Source organism: Homo sapiens, chromosome 3 (assembly GCF_000001405.40).
Source record: "Homo sapiens chromosome 3, GRCh38.p14 Primary Assembly".
Classification (NCBI taxonomy): Eukaryota; Metazoa; Chordata; class Mammalia; order Primates; family Hominidae; genus Homo; species Homo sapiens.
Genome location: NC_000003.12, coordinates 49,760,993 through 49,784,208, shown reverse-complemented (window position 1 = coordinate 49,784,208; position 23,216 = coordinate 49,760,993). Strand labels below are relative to the sequence as shown.

The following is a 23,216-nucleotide window of genomic DNA, read 5'->3' as shown; positions in this document are numbered from 1 at the left end:
GCCTATCCAAAATGGCAAAATCCCATGTCTACTAAAAATACAAAAATTAGCTGGGCGTGGTGGTGCATGGAGGCTGAGGCAGGAGAATCACCTGAACCCGGAAAGCGGAGGTTGCAGTGAGCTGAGATCGCGCCACTGCACTCCAGCCTGGGTGACAGAGTGAGACTCAGTCTCCAAAAATAAATAAATAAATAAATAATAAATAAAATAATAATTTTGAAAGAAACCAGCTCCTTGGTCAGGAGATCCTTTAGGAAAGCAGGTGCTGAACCCAGAGGACGCTGGCAGCTTGTTGCTGTTCGACTGAGTTTATACTGCACTTGTGAGGCAAGGGAGAAGTTGAGTAGTCTTTAGTTATTTATTTCATTGTCCTTCAGGGCCATTTTTTGAATCTTTAGTTCATTATAATCTTGGTAAGACCAGTTCCTTGGGCAGTTCTTGAAAGGAGGGGGATATTAAAATATTAGCTTTTCTTTCTTTCTTTTTTTTTTTTTTTGAGACGGAATCTCGCTCGGTTGCGCTGGCTGGAGTGCAGTGGCATGGTCTTGGCTTACTGCAAGCTCCACCTCCTGGGTTCACGCCATTCTCCTGCCTCAGCTTCCCAAATAGCTGGGACTATAGGCACCTGCCACCATGCCCGGCCAATTTTTTTGTATTTTTAGGAGAGACGGGGTTTCACCGTGTTAGCCAGGATGGTCTCGATCTCCTGACCTCATGATCCGTCTACCTCGGCCTCCCAAAGTGCTGGGATTACAGGCGAGAGCTACTGCACCCAGCAAAAATATTAGCTTTTCAAAATTGTCCCAAGCCCCTGCTTTTTTTTTTTTTCTGAGACAGGGTTTCACCATGTTGGCCAGGCTGGTCACTCCTGACAGGTGATCCACCTGCCTCAGCCTTGGCCTGGGATTACAGGGGTGAGACACCACACTGGCTGTCATTTGCATTTTTAAAAATTACTTATGTAGAGATGGGGTCTCAGTTGCCCAGACTGGGCTTGAACTCCTAGTCTCAAGTGATCCTCCTGTCTTGGCCTCCCAAAATGCTAGGATTACAGGCATGAGCCACCATGCCTGGCCTTTTTTTTTTTTTGAGACAGAGTCTCACTCTGTCGCCCAGGCTGGAATGCAGTGGCATGATCTTGTCTCACTGCAACTTCCGCCTCCTGGGTTCAAGTGATACTCCTGCCTCAGCCTCCCGAGTAGCTGGGACTACAGGAGTGCGCCAGCACGCCTGGCTAATTTTTTTTTTTTTTTTTTTTTTTAGTAGAGCCGGGGTTTTGCCATGTTGGCCAGGCTGGTCTCAAACTCCTGACCTCAAGTGATCCACCCACCTTGGCCTCCCAAAGTGCTGGGATTACAGGTGTGAGCCACCACACCTGGCCACGCCTGGCCTTTTTTAAGAGACAGTCTCTTAAAAACCTCCTAGGCTGGAGTGTAGTGACACAATTGTAGCTCACTGCAGCCTCCAACTCCTGGGCTCAAGTGATCTTCTTGCCTCAGCTTCCAAAGTAGCTAGGACTACACACATGCGCCACCATGCCTGGCTAATTTTCTTTGTCTTAATTTTTTTGTAGAGATGGGGGTCTCACTATGTTGCTCAGGCTAGTCTCAAACTCGTGGGTGCAAATGATCCTCCTGCCTCGGGTTCCTAAAGTGCAGGCATGAGCCACTGTGCCTGGCTTGTGATGGGCATTTTTAAGTGCAAATGTGTCAGACTGTTGTTATAATAGTAGACCCTCCAGGCCGGGCGCGGTGGCTCAAGCCTGTAATCCCAGCACTGTGGGAGGCCAAGGTGGGCGGGTCACGAGGTCAGGAGTTCCATACCAGCCTGACCAACATGGTGAAAAACCGTCTCTACTAAAAATACAAAGATTAGCCAGGTGTGGTGGCGTGCACCTGTAATCCCAGCTACTCAGGAGGCTGAGGCAGGAGAATCACTTGAACCTGGGAGGTGGAGGTTGCAGTGAGCCGAGATTGCGCCACTGCACTCCAGCCTGGGCGACAGAGCTAGACTCCGTCTCAAAAAAAAAAAGAAAAAGCAGACTTTCCATCCACTGTTCTTTATCTTTGCATAATTTATCTGTAAACTTTAGTATTTTTATTTACTTAATTTTTTTTTGAGACAGGTCTTACTCTGTTGCCCAGCTGGAGTGCAGTGGCATGATCATAGCTCACTGCAGCCTCGAATTCCTGGGCTCAGGTGATTCTCCTGCCTCAGCCTCCAGAGTAGCTGGAACTACAGGTGGGCACAACTGTGCTCAGCTAATTTTTAATTTTAATTTTTTTTTTTAATGGACATGATGTCTTGTTTGTTGCCCAGGCTGGTCTCTAACTCCTGGGTTTGAGTGATCCTCCCACCTCGGCCTCCCAAAGTGCTGGATTATGAATGTGAGTCACCTTGCCTGGCCAATTTCAGGAGTTTTTCACACTGTACAGACTACGGAGATCCTGCACTGAAATCAGGAACTGCTACAGGCTTATGGGATGAGATCTGATGTCCTAATGTGGCATTTAAGGTGATATAGTCCAGCTGGCTCCAGGCTACCTCCTCAGGGTTTATCCTAATCCCCACTAACCAAATGGTTTGCTAAACATTCCATACATACTCTTTCTCTGCACAAATCCTCTCATGGCTGAATCCAGTGACCTATGGCCTGTGGAGATGACCTTTTGCTTCAGCTTTTCCCTTGTCCATAGTCCAGCTCCATTTCTACCTACCTTCTTTATAAAACGTCCCCAAAACATTTCTGCTCCTGGGGATATATTTCATACCCTTTGAACTGCAGTTACATTATTGCTCTGAAACAAACATCAAAATAGTATTTGCTCTTTTAAGAATAATTTTTTAGGCCGGCACAGTGGGTCACGCCTGTAATCCCAGCACTTTGGGAGGCCACAGCGGGTGGATCACCTGAGGTCAGGAGTTCGAGACCAGCCTAGCCAACATGGTGAAACTCTGTCTCTACTAAAAATACAAAAAATTAGTCAGGCGTGGTGGCGGGTGCTTGTAATCCCAGCTACTTGGAAGATTGAAGCAGTAGAATCACTTGAACCTGGAAGGCAGAGGTTGCAGTGAGCTGAGATTGCGCCACTGCACTCTAGCCTGGGCAGCAAGAGTGAAACTCTGTCTCAAAAAAAAAAAAATCTTTTTTGTTTCCTCTGGTAGGGCCTAATAATCCTTTTCTGACAGGGACTGTATTTTACACTTTTTGTGTCTTTTTGCGCCTGTACGTAGTAGATGAGGACCAAATATTTATAAAGATGTACTAGATTTGTCTGAGTTGGAAACACCTTTTGTAATTAAACAGGGAAATAGAAGGGAGTGGGCAAGTAGAAGTGGGGATTTGGTGGCTATGAATTTCTGCCTCCACCCTGCCTTGCCTTGAAGTGCTTGCATATGTTAACTCTAGTGCTTTATAGAGGCAGGCCCATCCCTTAGTGCTGCAGAACAGAGACAGAACTTGCTCAAAGGGCAGAACTAAGGCCTGGAAAGAGCCCTTCCTGGTTAAAGTGCCACTTTTCTAGGAAAACATTTCTGTGAGCATGGCACTGGATGCAAACATTTTTAGGCCCTTTTCTTTGTTGTGGCTTGATCTCACTGCCTCCTTGGGCTGCTGTAAATGGCAGTATTTGCTGCCTGCCCTCCTCCCAGTGCAGCCCTGACGCTATAAGGAACAGTGATGGGCAGAGCTGGGGAAAGACGCACAGTACACTCTTGTTTCTGACTTGCAACAAGGAAGCAGTCAGGCATTTTGTGTCTTTGTGGCTCTGGATCTGTGCTTTTGCACTAATTTTTAAATATAGGTTTTCATTTCTCCTACTACAGCAGAATTTGAGCAATAGATTCTGGGTAGGAAAGCCTAAGACTGTGTGTGTGTGTGTGTGTGTGTGTGTGTGTGTATGAAAGATGATAAAGATTCTCGTGTGCTACTGTGGTTTGAAGTTACGTTTATTTAGAAGATGTAACAAATGAGCTTTGATGGGAACACATGTTCACTTCAGTGCTGGATCTCTGTTAGGGACTTTGTTTTGTTGAGTGCCTAGAAAATCTGCTGATCTCTTTTGTAAAATTTTATTTGTGGGTTTAGCTTATTTATTCCTGTCTCATTATATAAAAGGAGGGCAGGGTAGGGGAGCAGGTCTAGGACTGGACTCTTTTCAAGTCTAAAATTCAATGTTGATGAATAAGAGCATCTTATAAATACATAAAAATCTAGGTGTAGGCCAGGTGCCGTAGCTCATGCCCATAATTCCAGAACTTTTGGAGGTTGAAGCAGGCAAATTGCTTGGGCCCAGGAGTTTGAGACCAGCCTGGGCAACATAGTGAGACCCCATCTCTGCAAAAAAAAAGTAAAAGTTAAACGAGCATAGTGGCATTCACCTGTATTCTCGGCTACTTGGGAGGCAGGGGCGGGAGGATTGCTTGAGCCCAGGAGGTTGAGGCTGCAGTGAGCCTTGATTGTACCACTGCATTCCTGCCTGGATGACAGAGCAAGACCCTGTCTCTAAAAAGAAAAGAAAAATTTGGGTGTATTATGATTGAATGAACAATCATTAAACAACTTACTCTGTAGTAAAAAAAATCAGATGATGTCGTATGTTGATGGAAATATGGAGAAATTAGAGACCTCATACATTGTTGGTGGGAATGTCAAGTGGGCCACTTGGGAAAACAGTCTTTATGTGGTTAAACATAGAGTTACCATATGACCCAGCAATCTCCCTCCTGGCTATCTACCCAAGAGAAATGAAAACAAATGTTCACACAAAAACTTGTACATGAATGTTTATGGCAGCATTATTCATAATAGCCAAAAGGAGAAGCAACCCAAATGTCCATCAACTGACAGATAAAATGTGGTGTATACATACAAGGGAACATTACTCTGCAATAAAAAGGAACGAAGTGTGATACATGTTACAACATGGATGAACCTTGAAAACATGTTAAAGTGAAAGAAGTCAGATACAAAAGTTCACATTTACATGATTCCATTTATGTGAAATATCCAGAATAGGCAATTCTATAGAAACAGAAAGTACATTAGTGATTGCTTAGGGCTTGGAGGTGGTTGTAGGGGATAGGGAAAAAGATAGCTTAAGAGTATGGAATCTCTTTTTGAGATGATTAAAACATTCTAAAATTGTGATGGTTGCTCCTATTTCTGAATATTTTATACTTTTTTTAAATTTTATACTTAAAATCATTGAATTGTACACCTTAATGGGTGAACCGTATGATGTGTGAATAATATATCAATAAAGCTGTTAATTAAAAACGTATTGGCTGGACATGGTGGCTCATCCCCGTAATCCTAGCACTTTGGAGGCTGAGGCAGTAGGATCACTTGAGCCCAGGGGTTCGAGACCAGCTCTGGAAACATAGCGAGACCCCATCGATACAAAAAATAAAAAAATTAGCCAGGCGTGGTGGTGCGTGACTGTAACTCCAGCTACTGGGGAGTCTAAGATGGGAGGATCGCTTGTGTCTGGGATTTTGAGGCTGCAGTGAGCTGTGGTTGGGCCACTGCACTCCAGCCTGGGTGACAGAGTGGGACCCTATCTTTTTTTTTTCTTGAGATGAAGTCTCGCTTTGTCGCCCAGGCTGGATTGCAGAGGCACGATCTCGGCTCACTACAACCTCTGCCTCCCAGGTTCAACTGATTTTCCTGCCTCAGCCTCCTGAGTAGCTGGGATTACAGGCACCTACCACCATGCCCAGCTAATTTTTGTATTTTTAGTAGAGACGAAGTTTCACCGTGTTGGCCAGGCTAGTCTTGACCTCCTGACCTCAAGCCATCCACCTGCCTTGGCCTCCCAAAATGCCGGGATTACAGGCATGAGCCACCACACCTTGCCAAGACCCTGCCTTTTTTTTTTTTTTGAGACCGAGTCTCACTCTTGTTGCCCAGGCTGGAGTGCAGTGGCGCGATCTCAGTTCACTGCAACCTCCACCTCCAGGGTTCAAGTGATTCTCCTGCCTCAGCCTCCCAAGTAGCTGGGATTTACAGGCATGTGCCAGCACGCTCGGCTAATTTTTGTATTTTTAGTACAGACGGGGTTTCACCATGTTGGCCAGGATGGTCTCGATCTCCTGACCTTGTGATCCACTCGCCTTGGCCTCCCAAAGTGCTGGGATTACAGGTGTGAGCCACCACACCCAGCTGAGAGACCCCGTCTTAAAAAAAAAAAGTCATTTCACTGTTAAAGAAAATCCCCTGCACACCAGAAATGGCCAGCTGATCTCTGATCTTTGACCTTTATGCTTTATCATTGTTTTTTTTGTTTGTTTGTTTGCCACAGAGTCTCGCTCTGTCGCCCAGGCTGGAGTGCGTGGCGCGATCTCAGCTCACTGCAAGCTCCGCCTCCCGGGTTCACGCCATTCTCCTGCCTTCGCCTCCCGAGTAGCTGGGACTACAGGCGCCTGCCACCACGCCCGGCTAATTTTTTTGTATTTTTAGTAGAGACAAGGTTTCACCATGTTAGCCAGGATGGTCTCGATCTCCTGACCTTGTGATCCGCCCATCTCGGCTTCCCAAAGTGCTGGGATTACAGGCGTGAGCCACCACGCCTGGCCCTTTATCATTGTTTTTAAAGAAATTTCCAACTTTATTGTGGTATAATTTTTCTTTTTTTCTTTTTTTTTTGAGATAGAGTCTCGCTCTGTCTCACAGGCTGGAGTGCAGTGGCGCAATCTCCACTCACTGTAACCTCCACCTCCCAGGTTCAAGTGATTCTCCTGCCTCAGCCTCCCGAGTAGCTGGGAGTACAGGCATGTGCCACCACGCCCGGCTAATTTTTTGTATTTTTAGTAGAGATGGGGTTTCACTGTGTTAGCCAGGATGGTTTCGATCTCTTGACCTCAGGCAATCCATCCACCTCGGCCTCCCAAGGTGTTGGGATTACAGGCATGAACCACTGCACCTGGCCCAACAGATGTCTATTTCACTTCATTGAAAAGATTTCTGTTTTTGGAGACAGAGTCTTGCTCTGTCACCCTGATTGGGGTGCAGTGGTGCCATCTTGGCTCACTGCAACCTCCGCCTCCTAGGTTCAAGTGATTTTTGTGCCTCAGCCTCCAGAGTAGCAGGGATTACAGGCATGTGCCACCACAATGGACTGATTCTTGATTTTTTTAGTAGAGATGGGGTTTTGCCATGTTGACCAGGCTTGTCTCGAACTCCTGACCTCAAGTGATCCATCCACCTTGGCCTCCCCAAGTGCTGGGATTACAGGCATGCGCCACTGTGCCCGGCCCAGTGAAAAGATGTCAGTTAGTCATAGAAGGTACTCTTATTTCCCTTTCCAGTCAACCCCAGCCTGCTTTCTTGGACACAGACAGGTGCCAATCTTTCTATCACTGTAGATTAAATTTGCGTTTCTTAGAAGTTTCACATAAATGGAATCATATTAATATACAGTCGATCCTCATTATTCACAGAGTTTGTATTTTCAAGTTTGCAGACCTGCTAAAATTTACTTGTAACCCCAAAATCAGTACTTTTGGTGCTTTTGCTATCATTTATAGATGTGCACAGAGTGACAAAAATTTTGAGTTGTGTGTTCCTAGCTGAGGTTAAACAAGGCAACATGCTGCTGCCTTCTTTTCAATTATCATACTGTAAATAAGTGTCCTTTTCTTGGTCTATTTAGTACCATGGTTTTTTGCATTTATTTGCTTTTTTTTTTTACTGAGACTGAGTCTTGCCCTGTCACCCAGGCTAGAGTGCAGTGGTGCTATCTCGGCTCACTGCAACCTCCGCCTCCCAGGTTCAAGTAATTTTCCTGCCTCAGCCTCGCGAATAGTTGGGATTACAGACATGCACCACCATGCCTGGCTAATTTTTGTATTTTTAGTAGAGATGAGGTTTCACCATGTTGTCCAGGCTGGCCTCGAGCTCCTGGCTTCAAGTGATCTGCCCATCTCGGCCTCCCAAAGTGCTGGGATTACACGCGTGTGCCACTGCACCTGTCCTGATTTACTTTTTGTTGGTGATTTTTAATGTTTATTTTCATTTTTATTTATTTTACCAGAAAATAAACACTAACTTTATTAATGTAATAGCAACAGAAAGGGTTTCCAATTTCTCAGAAGGAAAATAACATGACAATAGCGCAAGTGTTAAAAGAGTAAATGGCTACATTTCTTGTTCTGATAGCTTCCCACCATACACCAAAGGTTCTTCAAGGACAGCTGCCACCAGAGCTGCTGCAAGATCATGTTTTTCACTGGGTGTAGCTTCACAGTCAACTCCTCAAGCAGAAGACTAAAATATTATTTCTTAGAAGATCTTGGTTGAGGGAGAACATATCAATATGGAGAACAGATCTTTGCTTCTCAAATTCAAGAAAAACCATTAACTAATCTATCAATTTTTCTCCAATACAGTGTGCCAGAGTGCTCTGTGAAGAATCCTTTTCCATCCCTACCACATGTCTGGGTGAAGGGAGGGGAGGGTTGGTAAGCTGCCAGGACACTAGCAGGCACTCCTGGTGATGCTCTGGGCTCTGCTCCCTTTCTGCCGGGAGTAGCAGGCATCTTTTCTAGCCGCTGCAGCAGCTTGATGTTGTGGGGAGGAAGGGGCCACCCACCAATCACCTCTTCTTGAAGCTGCATTTTTTTGTGTTCGTAGAAGAGGTCTGTCTTAGAGCTCCCCAAATTGACAATCTTTGGGCAGCCATCTCTATCCTTCTCCTAGATGGTGCACTCCTTACAGTAATAGGCACCAGAGACCCCAGGGCCTCCACAGATCACACGGCACCCCTGCTAAGATACGTAGTTACACTCATCACATAGCACACCAGAGTGCAGGGACGCACAAAGTCACAAATCACACACTTGCTGTCACATTTTTCACACAATCTTCCAATGACAACACCAGCTGGCTTGCAGCAAAAGATCAAATTAGGATGATGTTTAGCCATAGTTCCCAATGAAGCCGGCCGCTAGAAGCCTATTTTTTTATTTTTTCGAGACTGCTTACAGGTTGTTAGCCACTGCGCCTGGCCTTGTTGGTGATTTTGATGCTTAAAATGGCCCCCAAACGTATTGAAGTGCTGCCTGGTGTTTTTAAACACAAGAAGGCTTTGATTACCTTACAAGGAATGTGTAGGGAAGTTTTGTTCAGGCATGAGTTATAATGCTGTTAACTATAGTTCAGTGTTAATGAATCAGTTATTTATATTAAATAAGGTGTTTTTAAATAGAAACATACCTAAAAGGTTTTATATTGTATGTATGTAGATCTGGAAGGTTGTATATTAATTGGTTAATGAAAATATGACTAGATCATCTTCTACTGGCTGAGAGTTTATTAAACAAAAAAAAAAAGAAATTATGACCAGAGGCCTACAGGAACTTAACCATTTATTTTGTCTAGGTGCAGTGACTCAGTATTCAATAACTCAGTGTACACAATGACTTTATAAAACATAATTACCATCAATAATGAGAATTGACTGTATAGTTTCTTGTGTCAGAGCCCTAGCTAAGTGTTCTAGACTTTAATGTCTGGGAGCCACAGACAGTGCTTTTGTTGATAAGTATTCATCCCTTAAATTCCCTCTCCCATTAAAAGTCATTTCCACAGGTCACCTATTATGCATAGCTGAATTTGTAATATTTCATTGTTTTACCATTAACTTCTTGGGCCATACTGACTTTCAGTTCTCTGAAGGCAGGAATTATTTTTGTCTTGTTAGTAATAATATACTACATGGTCTTACTCTGTAGATACTCAATATGTATTTGATCATGTAAGTACTTAAATTTTTTTTTTCTTTTTTTTTTTTTTTTTTTTTTGAGATGGAGTCTAGCTCTTTCGCCCAGGCTGGACTGCAGTGGCACTATCTCAGCTCACTGCAAGCTCCACCTCCTGGGTTCACGCCATTCTCCTGCCTCAGCTTCTCGAGTAGCTGGGACTACAGGCACCCGCCACCGCACCCGGCTAATTTTTTTTGTATTTTTAGTAGAGATGGGGTTTCACCATGTTAGCCAGGATGTTCTCGATCCTCCTAACCTCATGATCCGCCTGCCTTGGCCTCCCAAAGTGCTGGGATTACAGGCATGAGCCACTGTGCCCGGCCTGCAAATTTAAATTTAATGGTCCCTGACTAATTTGGAGACTTTATAGTTGCAATTCGGACAAAAAATTGGTTTGGTGGTGAGTATTCTGGTTTTATGTGTGTGTTGTGTGTGTGTGTGTGTGTGTGTGTGTGTGTGTGTGTGTTTTAGAGAGAGTCTTGCTAATGTTACTCATGCTGGTCTCGAATTCCTGGGCTCAAGTGATCCTGCTGCCTCAGCCTCCCATGTATACCACCATGCCTAGCTAGTGAATATTCTGAAACTTATTTATAAAGACTTATGCTCAACTTGAAGATGTTGTATGGATCAGGGTCAAGCAGCATGCTAGGCAGGATATACATAGGCTATTTTGGTTTACTGTTTTTGGTACTTTACCTGGAGACAGTGCAGCAAAAATTAAAGTGAGTTCACTAGCATAGAAAATATAATGAATATTAAAAAGCTTCTTCTCTATTTGGGAAGATGTATTATAAAATATGTGGCTATCTTTTTTATTTATTAATTTTTGAGACGGAGTCTTGCTCTGTTGCCCAGGCTGGAGTGCAGTGGTGCGATCTCGGCTCACTGGCTCACTGCAGGCTCCGCCTCCCAGGGTCATGCCATTCTCCTGCCTCAGCCTCCTAAGTAGCTGGGACTACAGGCGCCCGCCACCACGCCCAGCTAATTTTTTGTATTTTTTAGTAGAGATGGGGTTTCACTGTGTTAGCCAGGATGGTCTCGATATCCTGACCTTGTGATCCACCCACCTCGGCCTCCCAAAGTGCTGGGATTACAGGCGTGAGCCACCGCGCCCGGCCAGTATGTGGCTATCTTACATATTTTGCAGGTGTCTCTAAAGTAAGTGCTGACCTTGGTGCCAGGGAGCCCATATTAAGTTTGAGTAATTTCATGAAGCAGAGTGTACCAGGCAGGACCACTTGGACCCTTAAGCATATTAACTTGACTGTTTACAGTATTACTTTTCATTGGTAGAATTGGGACTATATACAAAATTATTAATTGGCCAGGTGCAATGGCTCATGCCTGTAATTCCAGCACTTTGAGAGGCTGAGGCAGGAGGATCAGTTAAGCTTAGAAGTTCAAAACCAGCCTGGACAACCCAGCAAGGCCCGCTTATCTACCAAAAAATAAACAATTAGCTGGGCATGGTGGGACATGCCTAAAATTCCAGCAACTGGGGAGGCTGAGGTAGGAGGATCACTTGAGCATAGGAGTTGGAGGCTGCAGTGAGCAGTGATCATACCACTGCACTCCTGCCTGGGTGAGAGTGAGACTCTGTCTTTAAAAAAAAAAAAAAGCTCAAGAGTTCAAGACCAGCCTGGGCAACGTAGTGAGACCCTGTCTCTATGTAAAAAAAAAAAAGAATTATTAACTGTAACAGAGACTGGAGTAATGAGAAATTGGCTAGTCAGAAGTAGAGAGAGGCTGGGTGTGGTGGCTCATGCCTGTAATCCCAGCACTTTGGGAGGCTGAGATGGAAGGATCACTTGAGTCCAGGAGTTTGAGACCAGCCTGGGCAACATGGTGAAACCTTGTCTCTACAAAAAATAAAAAAATTAGCTGGGTGTGGCAGCATGTGCCTATAGTCCCAGCTACTAGAGAGGCTGAGATGGGAGGATTGCTTGAGACCAGGAGATGGAGGCTGCAGTGAATCATGATCGTGCCACTGCACTTTAGCCTGGGTAACAGAGTAAGACCCTGTCTCAAAAAAGAGAACGCTCTAGAATATAAGAAGACAATATATGTATATATAGCCTTCTATATATATATATTTTATATATTATATAGTCTTCCTATATATTATATATATAAAATATATTAAGTTAAAAAGGAAGACTATATAACATATATATTACATATATATGTGTTACACACACACACACATATATATATATATATATTTTTTTTTTTAAGGGAAAGGGTCTTGTTTTGTCACCCAGGCTGGAGTACAGTGGTGCAATTATAGCTCACTGCCACCTTGAACCCACCTTGGGCTCAAGGGATCTTCCCACCTCAGCTTCCCAAGTAGCTGGGACTACAGGTGTGCACTGCTGCACCCAGCTAATTAAAAAAATTTTCTGTAGAGGTCTTGCCATGTTGCCCAGGTTGGTCTCAAACTCTTGGGCTCAAGCGATCCTCCCTCTTTGGCCTCGCAAAGTGTTGGGATTACAGGTGTGAGCCACCACGCCTGGCCACTCTTGAGTAAGGTTTCTTTCACACAGTGTAGTGTTTTAATTTATACATGCTGTTGTCTGTATCAGTAGTTTATTTTTATTGCTATATAGTATTTCATTGCATTAACACTACAGTTTGTTTATTCTGTTGATAGATATTTGGGCTGTTTCCAGTGTTTGCCTTATGAGTAAAGCTTTTATGAACTTTTTTGCAAAGGTTTTTTGTGTGGACATACACATTCATTTCTCTTGAAGAGACTAGAATTGCTGGGTCATAGGATAGATGTATGTTTAGCTTTATAGGAAACTATAATACCTTTTCCAAAATGGTTGTACCATTTTTACACTCTCACCAGTAATGTATGAGAGTTGTGGTTGTTCCACATTTAGCAACATTAAGTGTGTTGTAGTGTGTTTTTAATTTTAGCCATTTGGGTGAAAGTATAGTGGTAACTCATTGTGGTTTTAATTTTCACTTACCTGAATGCTAATGATATTGAGCACCTTTTCCTGTACTTAATGGTCTTTGTGTATCTTCGTTTGTGAAGTATGTATTCAAATCTGTTGCCCATTTTTTTTTAAAATTGGCTTTTTTATTTTTTAAAGAAATGTATCTTTTAGAGATAGGGCCTCCCTATGTTGCCCAAGCTGGACTTGAACTTCTGGGCTCAAAGGATCCTTCTGCCTCATCCTCTCAAGTAGCTGGGACTATAGGTGTTCACCACTGTGCCTGGCAGGGTTTTTTTTTTTTTTTTTTTTTTTTGTTACTGAGTTTTAGGAAGTTTTTTTGTATTCTGGATACTATATTTTTTGTTTTTTGTTTTGTTTTTTTAGAGACAGGGTCTTGCTCTGTTGCCCAGGCTGGAGTGTAGTAGCGTGATCATAACTTAGTGTACCCTCTAACTCCTGGGCTTAAACGACCCTCCTGCCTCAGCCTCCCTAGTAGCTAGGACTACATGTGCATACTACCATGCCCAGCTTATTTTCTTTTTAAAAATTTTTTGTAGCAACGGAGGTCTCAGCATATTTGCCCAGGCTGATCCTGAACTCCTGACCTCAAGCATTCCTCTTGCCTGGGCCTCACAAGATGCTAGGAATACGGGTGTGATCAAGACTCCATCTCATAAATAAATAATCAGAGGTTTTCAATTTTGATGAAGTCCGATTTATCAATAATTTCTGTTATGGTTATTGCTTTCTGTGTTCTGTCTGAGTGTCTGAGGACACCTTGCCTACCTCTTAAGTGTTGGACATTTCTAGCAAGGCTTGAAGTCAGGTAGTGTAAATCATATAACTTTATTTTTTTTGAGACAGGGTCTGGTTCTGTCACCCAGGCTGGAGTGCAGTGGCATGATCTCCGCTCACTACACCCTCCACTTCCTGGGCTCAAGCCATTCTCCCACTTCAGCCTCCCGCGTAGCTAAGACTACAGGTGAGCTCTGCACACCTTGGCCTCCCAAAGTGCTGGTATTATAGGTATGAGCCACCATGCCCAGCCTAACTTTATTTTTTGTGTTTTCACCTACAAGCTTTCTAGTTTTAGCTTTTACATTTTGGTCTCTGAGTCATCCTAAGTTAATTTTTGTTATTGTGTGAGATTGGGGCTGGTGTTTCTTTTTCCCCCACATAGATAACTGATTGTTCCATTACTAGCAACATTTGTTGAAAAGACTTGTGTATTATCTATTGCTCTGTAACAAATTATTCCAAAACTTAGCAGTTTAAAACAGCAAACAGTTATTACCTCAGTTTCTGAGGGCTAGGAATTCAGAAGTGGCCCAGGCTAGAGTGAAGTGGTGATCACAGCTTACTGCAGCCCTGGCCTCCTGGGCTTGAGTGATCCTCCCAACTCAGCCTCTCAAGCTGGAACTACAGGCATGCACCACCATGCAGGGCTAGTTTTTTCTATGTTTTGTAGAGATGTTGCCCAGGCTGGTTTTGAACTCCTGGGCTCAAGTGATCTTTCCCTGTTGGCCTCCCAAAGTGTTGGGATTATAGGCCTGAGCCACCATGCTTGGCTTAGAGGATCTGTTTTCAAGATGACTTATTCATAAAGCTCTTTGCAGGAAGCCTCAGTTCCATATTGTTTATCTCTACCCAGGGCTTTTGTTTGTTTGTTTTTAAATTTTCCCTACTTTAAAGCTAACAAGTTATACACAGGGCTCTTTGAGTTTCCTCATGGCGTGCAGTTATCTCCTACAGAAATGATCTAAGACAAAGTAAGGAAGAAACCATGAAGCCTCTTATGACCTAGTCATACACTGTCACTTCTGCCATATTCTTTTCATTAGAATGAGTCCCTAAGTCTAGCCTGTACTCAAGGAGAGAGGAGGATTTCACTTTTTAGAGGGAAGAATGTAAAAAAATTTGACATAGTTTAAAACTACCAAAATTTTCTCTCCCCATTGGTTTGCTTTGGTACTTTTGTCGAAAAACAATTGACTGTTATATCCTGATTTGTCGCTGGCAAAAATCCCAAAAACAATTGACTCTGTAGATATGGGCCTGTTTGTGAAATCTGTGTTCTGTTCCATTGATCTATTTGTTTATCCATATGCCAGTACCCCACTACTGTAGCTTTATAGGAAGTCTTGACATGAGGCAGTGTAAATAACCCAACTTTATTGTTTATCAAGATTTATTTGAATATTACAGTTTCTTTTTATTACCATATAAATTTTAGAATTAGCTTGTCAATTTCTGTAAAAAAGTCTCCTGCCATTATGGTTGAGATTCCACTGAATTTATAGATTCATTTGGGGAGAATTGACATCTTAACTATATTGAGCCTTCTAATCCATGTGCTGTGTGAGGCATATTTCTTGATTTATGCCTTCTTTACTATCTTGCTACATTATTTCATTGTTTTTAATGTAGAATTCTTTCACGTTTTGTTAAATTTGACCCAAGACATTTGATTTTTTTGATGCTATTGTAAATGAAATTTTTAAATTGTAGTAAATATACATGAGAAAATGTAGAATTTTAACTATTTTGAAGGGTATGATGCAGTGGCATTAAATACATTCACAATGATGTTTTGAGAACTACTTTCATCATCCCAAATAGGAACTCTCCCCATTATATAGTAACACCCCATTCTCACCTCCCCCAGCCCCTTGTACGTTCTTAATAATCTTTTTGTCTCAATGAATTCGCCTATTTTATTTTATTTTATTTTTGAGACTCAGTCTCACTCTGTCACCGAGGCTGGAGTGCAGTGGCCCAGTCTTGGCTCACTGCAGCCTCCGCCTCCCAGGTTTAAGTGATTCTCCTGCCTCAGCCTCTCAAGTAGCTGGGATTACAGGTGCCCGCCACCACGGCCGGCTAATTTTTGTATTTTTGGTAAAGATGGGGTTTCACCATGTTGGCCAGGTTGATCTCGAACTCCTGACCTCAAGTGATCCACCTGCCTCAGCCTCCCAAAATGCTGGAATTACAGGCTTAAGCAACTGTGCCCAGCCCTGTTTTATTTTATGTAAGTGGAATTATAATTATATAATTTTTTCCCTTTTGTGCCTGGCTTATTTCACTTAGCAAAATGTTTTCAAGATTCATCCATGTTGTGACATGCATCAGAATTTCATTCCTTTTTAAGGCTGAATAATATTTCACTGTATGTATATACCGCATATCTTTATCCATTTATCTGTTGATGGACATGGGTCGTAGACACCATTTGGTTATTGTGAATAATGCTGTGAACATTGGTGTATAAATATCTGTTTTGGATTCCTCCTTTCAGTTCTTTTGGGTATAGACCTAAAAGTGGAATTGTTGAATCATATGGTAATTCTATGTTTAACTTTTTGAGGAATTGCCATACTGTCTTCTTTACATTCTCACCAGCAGTGCACAAGTGTTACAATTTCTTCATATCCTTGCCAACACTTATTTTCTATTTTTTTTTTTTTTTTATAACTTGGATGTGAAGTAGTTTCTCATTGTGGCTTTGATTTGCATTTCCCTAATGACTAATGAAGTTGAGCATCTTTTTGCATATTTTTTGGCCATTTGTAAATCTTCAGAGAAATGTCTAAGGCCTTTGCCCATTTATGAATTGGGTTATTTTTGTTGTTGTCGAGTTATACAAGTACTTTATATGTTCCATGTATTAATCCTTTATCAGATGTATGATCTGCAGATATTTTCTGCTATTCTGTGGGTGATGTTTTCACTCTTTTTAAATTAATTAATCGGTTTTTTAGAATAGAGATGGGATCTCACTATATTGCTCAGGGTGGTCTCAAACTCTTGGGCTTAAGTGATCCACCTGCATCAGCCTCCCAAAGTGTTGAGATTACAGGTATGAGCCACTGTACCCAGACTAATTTTATTTTTTTAAGTTGTTGTTATTATTATTATTATTTTTTGAGATGGAGTCTCACTCTGTCACCTAGCCTGGAGTGCAGTGGCGTGATCTCTGCTCACCACAGTTTCCGCCTCCCGGTTCAAGTGATTCTCCTGTTTTAGCCCCCCGAGTACCTGGGATTACAGGCACGTGCCACCACAACTGGCTACTTTTTTGTATTTTTAGTAGAGATGGGGTTTCACCATGTTAGCCAGGCTTGTCTTGAACCCCTGACCTCAGGTGATCTGCCCACCTCGGCCTCCCAAAGTGTTGGGATTACAGGCGTGAGCCACCGCGCCTGGCCAATTATTATTATTTTTTAAGAGATAGGGTCTCATCCTGTCACCCAGGCTGGAATGAGTGATATGAATGTAGCTCACTGCAGCCTCAAACTCCTGGGCTTGAGTGACTGCCTGCCTGCCTCAGCCTTCCAAGTAGCCGAGACTACTGGTATGAGCCAGTGCAACTCAGCTGATTTTTTAAAAATAAAAAAAAAAATTTTGTGGAGATGGGATCTTGTTAAGTTGCCCAGGCTGGTCTCAAACTGAGCTTAAGCAATCCTCCTGCCATGGCTTCCCAAAACTGTAGGATTTCAGGCCCTTGGATTTCTTTCTTTTTTTTTTTTTTTTTTTTTTTTTTTTTGAGACGGAGTCTTGCTCTTGTCACCCCGGCTGGAGTGCAGTGGCACGCTCGCTGCAACCTCTGCCTCCAGGGTTCAAGTGATTCTCCTGCCTTAGCCTTCCGAGTAGCTGGGATTACAGATGCCCACCACCATGCCCGCTAATTTTTGTATTTTTAGTAGAGACGGGGTTTTGCCATGTTGGTCAGGCTGGTCTCAAACTCCTGACCTAGTGATCTGCTCGCCTCAGCCTCCCAAAGTGCTGGGATTACAGGTGTGAGCCACTGTACCTGGCTGATTTCTTTCTTTTTTTTTTTTAAGATGAGGTCTCGTTCTGTCACCCAGGCTGGAGTGCAATGGCACGATCTTGGCTCACTGCAACCTCTGCGTCCCGGGTTCAAGTGATTCTCCTGCCTCAGCCTCCTGAGTAGCTGGGATTACAGGTGCCCACCACCACACCCAACTGATGTTTTAATTTTTAGTAGAGACAGAGTTTCACCAGGTTGGCCAGGCTGGTCTCGAACTCCTGACCTCAAGTGAGCCACCTGCCTTGGCCTCCCAAAGTGCTGGGATTACAGTTGTGAGCCACAGCGCCTGGCGTTTCTTTTTTTTTAGACAGAGTTTCGCTCTTGTCACCCAGGCTGGAGTGCAGTGGCGCGATCTTGGCTCACTGCAGACTTGATCTCTTGGGCTCAAGTGATTCTCCCACCTCAGCCAGACTCCCGAGATGCTGGGACTACAGGCATCTGCCACCACACCCAGCGAATTTTTGTGCTTTTTGTTTTTGTTTTTGTTTTTGTTTTTTTGAGATGGAGTCTTGCTCTGAAGCCCAAGCTGGAGTGCAGTGGTGCAATCTCGGCTCACGGCAAGCTCCGCCTCCCGGATTGACACCATTCTCCTGCCTCAGCCTTCCAAGTAGCTGGGACTACAGGCGCCCGCCACCACACCTGGCTAATTTTTTGTATTTTTAGTAGAGACGGGCTTTCACCATGTTAGCCAGGATGGTCTTGATCTCCTGACCTCGTCATCTGCCCGCTTCGGCCTCACAAAGTATTGGGATTACAGGCGTGAGCCACCGCGCCTGGCTTTGTGTGTTTTTTTTTTAGATATGGGGTTTCGCTGTGTTGCCCAGTCTGGTCTTGAACTCCTGGTCTCAAGTGACCCACCTGCCCTAGCCTTCCAAAGTGCTGGGATTACAGGTGTGAGCCACAGTGCCTGGGTAATGTAGATTTTTACATAGTTTATGTATCAGTTGACTATTAAGTGGTATATGAAAAAGAGATAAATGATAAACCAAAGGTACAGTGACAGCGGCCCTTTTTTTTTTTTTTTTTTTAAGACGAGTCTCGCTCTGTTGCCAGGCTGGAGTGCAGTGGCGATCTCAGCTCCCTGCAACCTCTGATTCCCATGTTCAAGTGATTCTTCTGCTTCAGCCTCCCAAGTAGCTGGGATTACAGGCACGTGCCACCATGCCCTGCTAATTTTTTTTTTTTTTTTTTTTTTAAGTAGAAACAGAGTTTGACCATGTTGGCCAGGATGGTCTCCATCTCCTGACCTCATGATCTGCCTGCCGCGGCCTCCCAAAGTGCTGGGATTACAGGCGTGAGCCACCACGCCCTGCCTACAGTGGCTTTTATGTTTACTTATGTAGTTACCCTTACCAGTGTTCTATATTTTTTCTTTTTCTTTTTAGCTACTGTCTGGTGTCCCTTCATTTTAGCCTGAAGGACTCCCTTTAGCATTTCTTGTAGATCTGGTCTAGTAGTTAGCAACTCCCTTAGTCTTTATCTGGAAATGTCTTAATTTCTCTTTCATTCTTGGATAGTATTTTCAGATGTAGAATTCTTGGTTGACAGTATTTTCCTTTAGGACTTATATATGTTATCCTACTGCCTTTTGGAGGTTTCTGAGGAGAAATCTGCTGTTAATCTCGTTTAGGATCTTTTGTACTTGAGGCATCAGTTTTCTCTTGCTGCTTTAAATATTCATTCTTGTCTTTTGGTTTCAATAGTTTCATAACACGTTTTTGTTTTATAATGTGTCTCATATGGGTCTCTTTGAGTTTATCCTATTTGGGTTCATTGGGATTCTTTTTTTTTTTTTTCAAGACAGAGTTTCACTCTGTCACCCAGGCTATAGTGCAGTGGTGCAGGTTGCTCACTGCAACCTCCGCCTCCCAGGCTCAAGTGATTCTCATGCCTCAGCCTTCCTAGTGGCTGGGATTACAGGTGTGCACTACCACGCCAGGCTAATTTTTGTATTTGTAGTAGACATGGGATTGTGCCATGTTGGCCAGGCTGGTCTTGAACTCCCGACCTCAAGTGATCTGCTTGCCTTGGCCTCCCAAAGTGCTGGGATTACAGGCATGAGCCACCACACCTGGACTTCATTGGGATTCTTGAATGTATATAGTTGACTCTTGTACAGTGTGGGGGTTGGGGTGTCAACTCCCCACACAGTCAAAAAACCTGCATATAACTTTTGACTCCCTCAGAGCTTAATTATTAGTAGCCTACTGTTGACTGGAAGCCTCACTGATAACATACACAATCAATATATAATTTGTTTGTTGTATATATTTTAAAATTTTTCTCGTTTTAGAGACAGGGTCTTGCTTCGTTGCCCAGGCTGCAGTGCAGTGGTACAATCATAACGCACTGCAGCATTGAACTCCTGAAATTAAGCAATCCTCCCACCTCAGCCTCCTGAGTAGCTGAGACTATAGGTGTGCATCACCATGTCTGGCTATTTTTTTTTTCTTTTGTAGAAATGGGGTCTCACTATGTTGCCCAGGCTGGTCTCAAACTCCTGGGCTCAAGTGATCCTCTCACGTTCACCTCCCAAAGTGTGCAATTACAGGCATGAGCCACCGCACCCAGTAGCTATAGGGTTTTCATAAATACCCTTTATTAAGTGAGGAAGAAGTTTCCTTCTATCTTTAGTTTGTTGAGAGGTTTTTTTGGAAACAGTCTTGCTCTGTTGCCCACACTGGAGTGCAGTGGCGTGATCTTGACTCACTGCAACCTTTGCCTCCCGGGTTCCAGCAATTCTCCTGCCTCAGCCTCCCGAGTAGCTGGGATTACAGGTGCCCGCCACCATGCGCAGCTAATTTATTTTTATTTATTTTTAGTAGAGACGGGGTTTCACCATGTTGGCCAGGCTGGTTTCGAACTCCTGACCCCAAGTGATCCTCCCGCCTCAGCCTCCCAAAGTGTTAGGATTACAGGCGTGAGCCACCACACCCAACCTGTTGAGAGTTTTTAATTATGAATGGGTACTGAATTTTGTCAGGTTTTTTTCCTGTATTTATTGAGATGATTACATCTTATGGCTTTTCTCCTTATTTCTGTTAATATGATGAGTAGTAATACTGATTGATTCTTTAGATGTTTAATCAACCTTGCATTTCCCACTTTGTCATGAGGGATTCTTTCTATATATCATTGGAATTGTTTTGCTAAAAATTTTTGAAGATTTTTGTATCTGTATTCATGAAGGACATTGTTCTAAAATCTTTTTTCTTATTTATTTTGTTAAGGTTCTTTTTTAGGTTTTGTTATTAGAAATAATTGACCTTGGCCGGGCGCGGTGGCTCATACCTGTAATCCCAGCACTTTGGGAGCCCGAGGCGGGTGGATCACGAGGTCAGGAGATCGAGACCATCCTGGCTAACACGGCGAAACCCCGTCTCTACTAAAAAATACAAAAAAAATTAGCCGGGTGTGTGGCGGGCGCCTGTAGTCCCAGCTGCTGGGGAGGCTTAGGCAGGAGAATGGTGTGAACCCGGGAGGCGGAGCTTGCAGTGAGCCGAGATTGCGCCACTACACTTCAGCCTGGGTGACAGAGCGAGACTCCGTCTCAAAAAAAAAAAAAAAAAGAAATAATTGACCTTGGCCAGGCATGGTGGCTCACGCCTATAATCCCAGCACTTTGAGAGGCTGAGGCAGGTGGATCACTTGAGGCAGGTGGATCACTTGAGGTCAGGAGTTTGAGACCAGCCTGGCCAACGTGGTGAAACCCCGTCTCTACTAAAAATACACAAATTAGCTGGGCGTGGTTGTGCGCTCCTATAATCCCAGCTACTCAGGAGGCTGAGGCAGGAGAATCACTTGAACCTGGGAGACAGAGGTTGCCATGAGCTGGGATTGTGCCATGCACTCCAGCCTGGGTCACAGAGTAAGATTATGTCTGAAAAAAAAAAAGCAATAATTGACCTCGTAAAACAAGTTGGGAACTACTCTCTTTCTCTCTCTTTCTGTTTTCTGAAAAAAAATTATGTAAGATTGATATTTCTTTCTTAAAAGTTTGATAGAATTCACTAGTGAAACCTAGTCTGGAGTTTTCTTCGTGGAAAGATTTTTGATCGCAGACTCAGTTTTCTTAATAGATATAGGAGTGTTCAGATTATTATTATTATTATTATTATTATTTTGAGACAGAGTCTCGCTCTGTTGCCCAGGTTTGAGTGCAGTGGCACGATCCTGGCTCACTGTAACCTCTGCCTCCCGGGTTCAAGTGATTCTTCTGCCTCAACCTCCCAAGTAGGGCAAGTAGCTATGATTACAGGCGCCCGCCACCTTGCCAGCTAATTTTTGTATTTTTAGTAGAGACGGGGTTTCACCATGTTGGCCAGGTTGGTCTCAGTCTCCTGACCTCATGGTCCGCCTGCCTCAGCCTCCCAAAGTACCGGGATTGCAGGTGTGAGCCACCACACCCGGCCTGTTCTTTCTTAAAGATGCTTGTGGCTCTTGCCTGTAATCCCAGCACTTTGGGAGGCTGAGGTGGGTGAATCACTTGAGTACAGGAGTTTGAGACCAGTCTGGGCCACATGATGAAATCCTGTCTTTACAAAAAATACAAAAATTATCTGGGCATGGTGGTGCATACCTGTAGTTTTAGTTACTCTCAGGGCTGAGCTGGGAGGATCGTTTGAGCCCAGTAAGCAGAGGTTACAGTGAGCCAAGATCGTGCCAGGCCACTTCAGCATGGGCAACAGTGAGACCCCATCTCACCAGAAAAAATAAATGAAAGAGAGAGAGACAGGGTTTCACTCTGTCACCCAGGCTGGAGTGCAATGGTGCAATCATGGCTTACTGTAACCTCAAACTCCTGGTCTTAAGTAATCTCGGTGCCTCAGCCTCCAAACTGGGACTGCATGTACCACCATGCCTGCCTAATTTTCATTTTTTCTGTAGAGACAGAGTCTTTCTCTGTTGACCAGGGTGCTCTTGAACTCCTGGCCTCAAGTCATCCTCCTGCCTTGGTCTCCTGAAATGTTGGGTTTACAGGTGCAAGCCATCACACCTGGCCTTTTTTCTAAGTTGTTAATGAGAACCTTAGGTTATTAATTTTTTTTTTTTTTTTTTTTGAGACGGAGTCTCGCGCTGTTGCCCAGGCTGGAGTGCAGTGGCACGATCTTGGCTCACTGCAAGCTCCGCCTCCCGGGTTCACGCCATTCTCCTGCCTCAGCCTCTCAAGTAGCTGGGACTACAGGTGCCTGCCATTGCGCCCGGCTAATTTTTTGTATTTTTAGTAGAGATGGGGTTTCACCATGGTCTTGATCTCCTGACCTCGTGATCCGCCCGCCTCGGCCTCCCAAAGTGCTGGGATTACAGGAGTGAGCCACCACGCCCGGCCAGGTCATTAACTTTATAGGTTTTTTCTTTTGGAGATGGAGTTTCACTCTGTCGCCAGGCTGGAGTGCAGTGGCACGATCTCCGCTCACTGCACCCTCCACCTCCCGGGTTCAAGTGATTCTCCTGCCTCGGCCTCCCGAGTAGCTGGGACTACAGGCGCCCACCACCATGCCCAGCTAATTTTTTGTATTTTTAGTAGAGACAGGGTTTCACCGTGTTGGCCAGGATGGTCTCGATCTCTTGACCTCGTGATCCATTCGCCTCGGCCTCCCAAAGTGCTGGGATTACAGGTGTGAGCCACCACGTCCGGCCAGTTTTACAGGTTTTTTGCAATACTTTTAGACTTTAAAACG

At 43.9% G+C, this 23,216-nt stretch overlaps 1 protein-coding gene and 1 pseudogene across 4 annotated transcripts in view; one reads left to right on the top strand and one right to left on the bottom strand.

Moving 5' to 3' along the window:
• Positions 1-23,216, top strand: part of IP6K1 (inositol hexakisphosphate kinase 1) — a 62,249-nt gene that overhangs the window by 2,334 nt on the left and 36,699 nt on the right. The window contains exon 2 of one of the 4 annotated variants that reach the window (XM_047449323.1): positions 13,572-13,689. The exons of the other annotated variants lie outside the window; for them this stretch is intronic. The gene's annotated coding sequence lies outside the window, so the exon portion shown is untranslated. The remainder of the gene's footprint in view (positions 1-13,571; positions 13,690-23,216) is intronic. 4 annotated transcript variants of the gene reach the window in all.
• PHF5AP3 (PHF5A pseudogene 3) lies at positions 8,028-8,953 on the bottom strand (annotated as a pseudogene).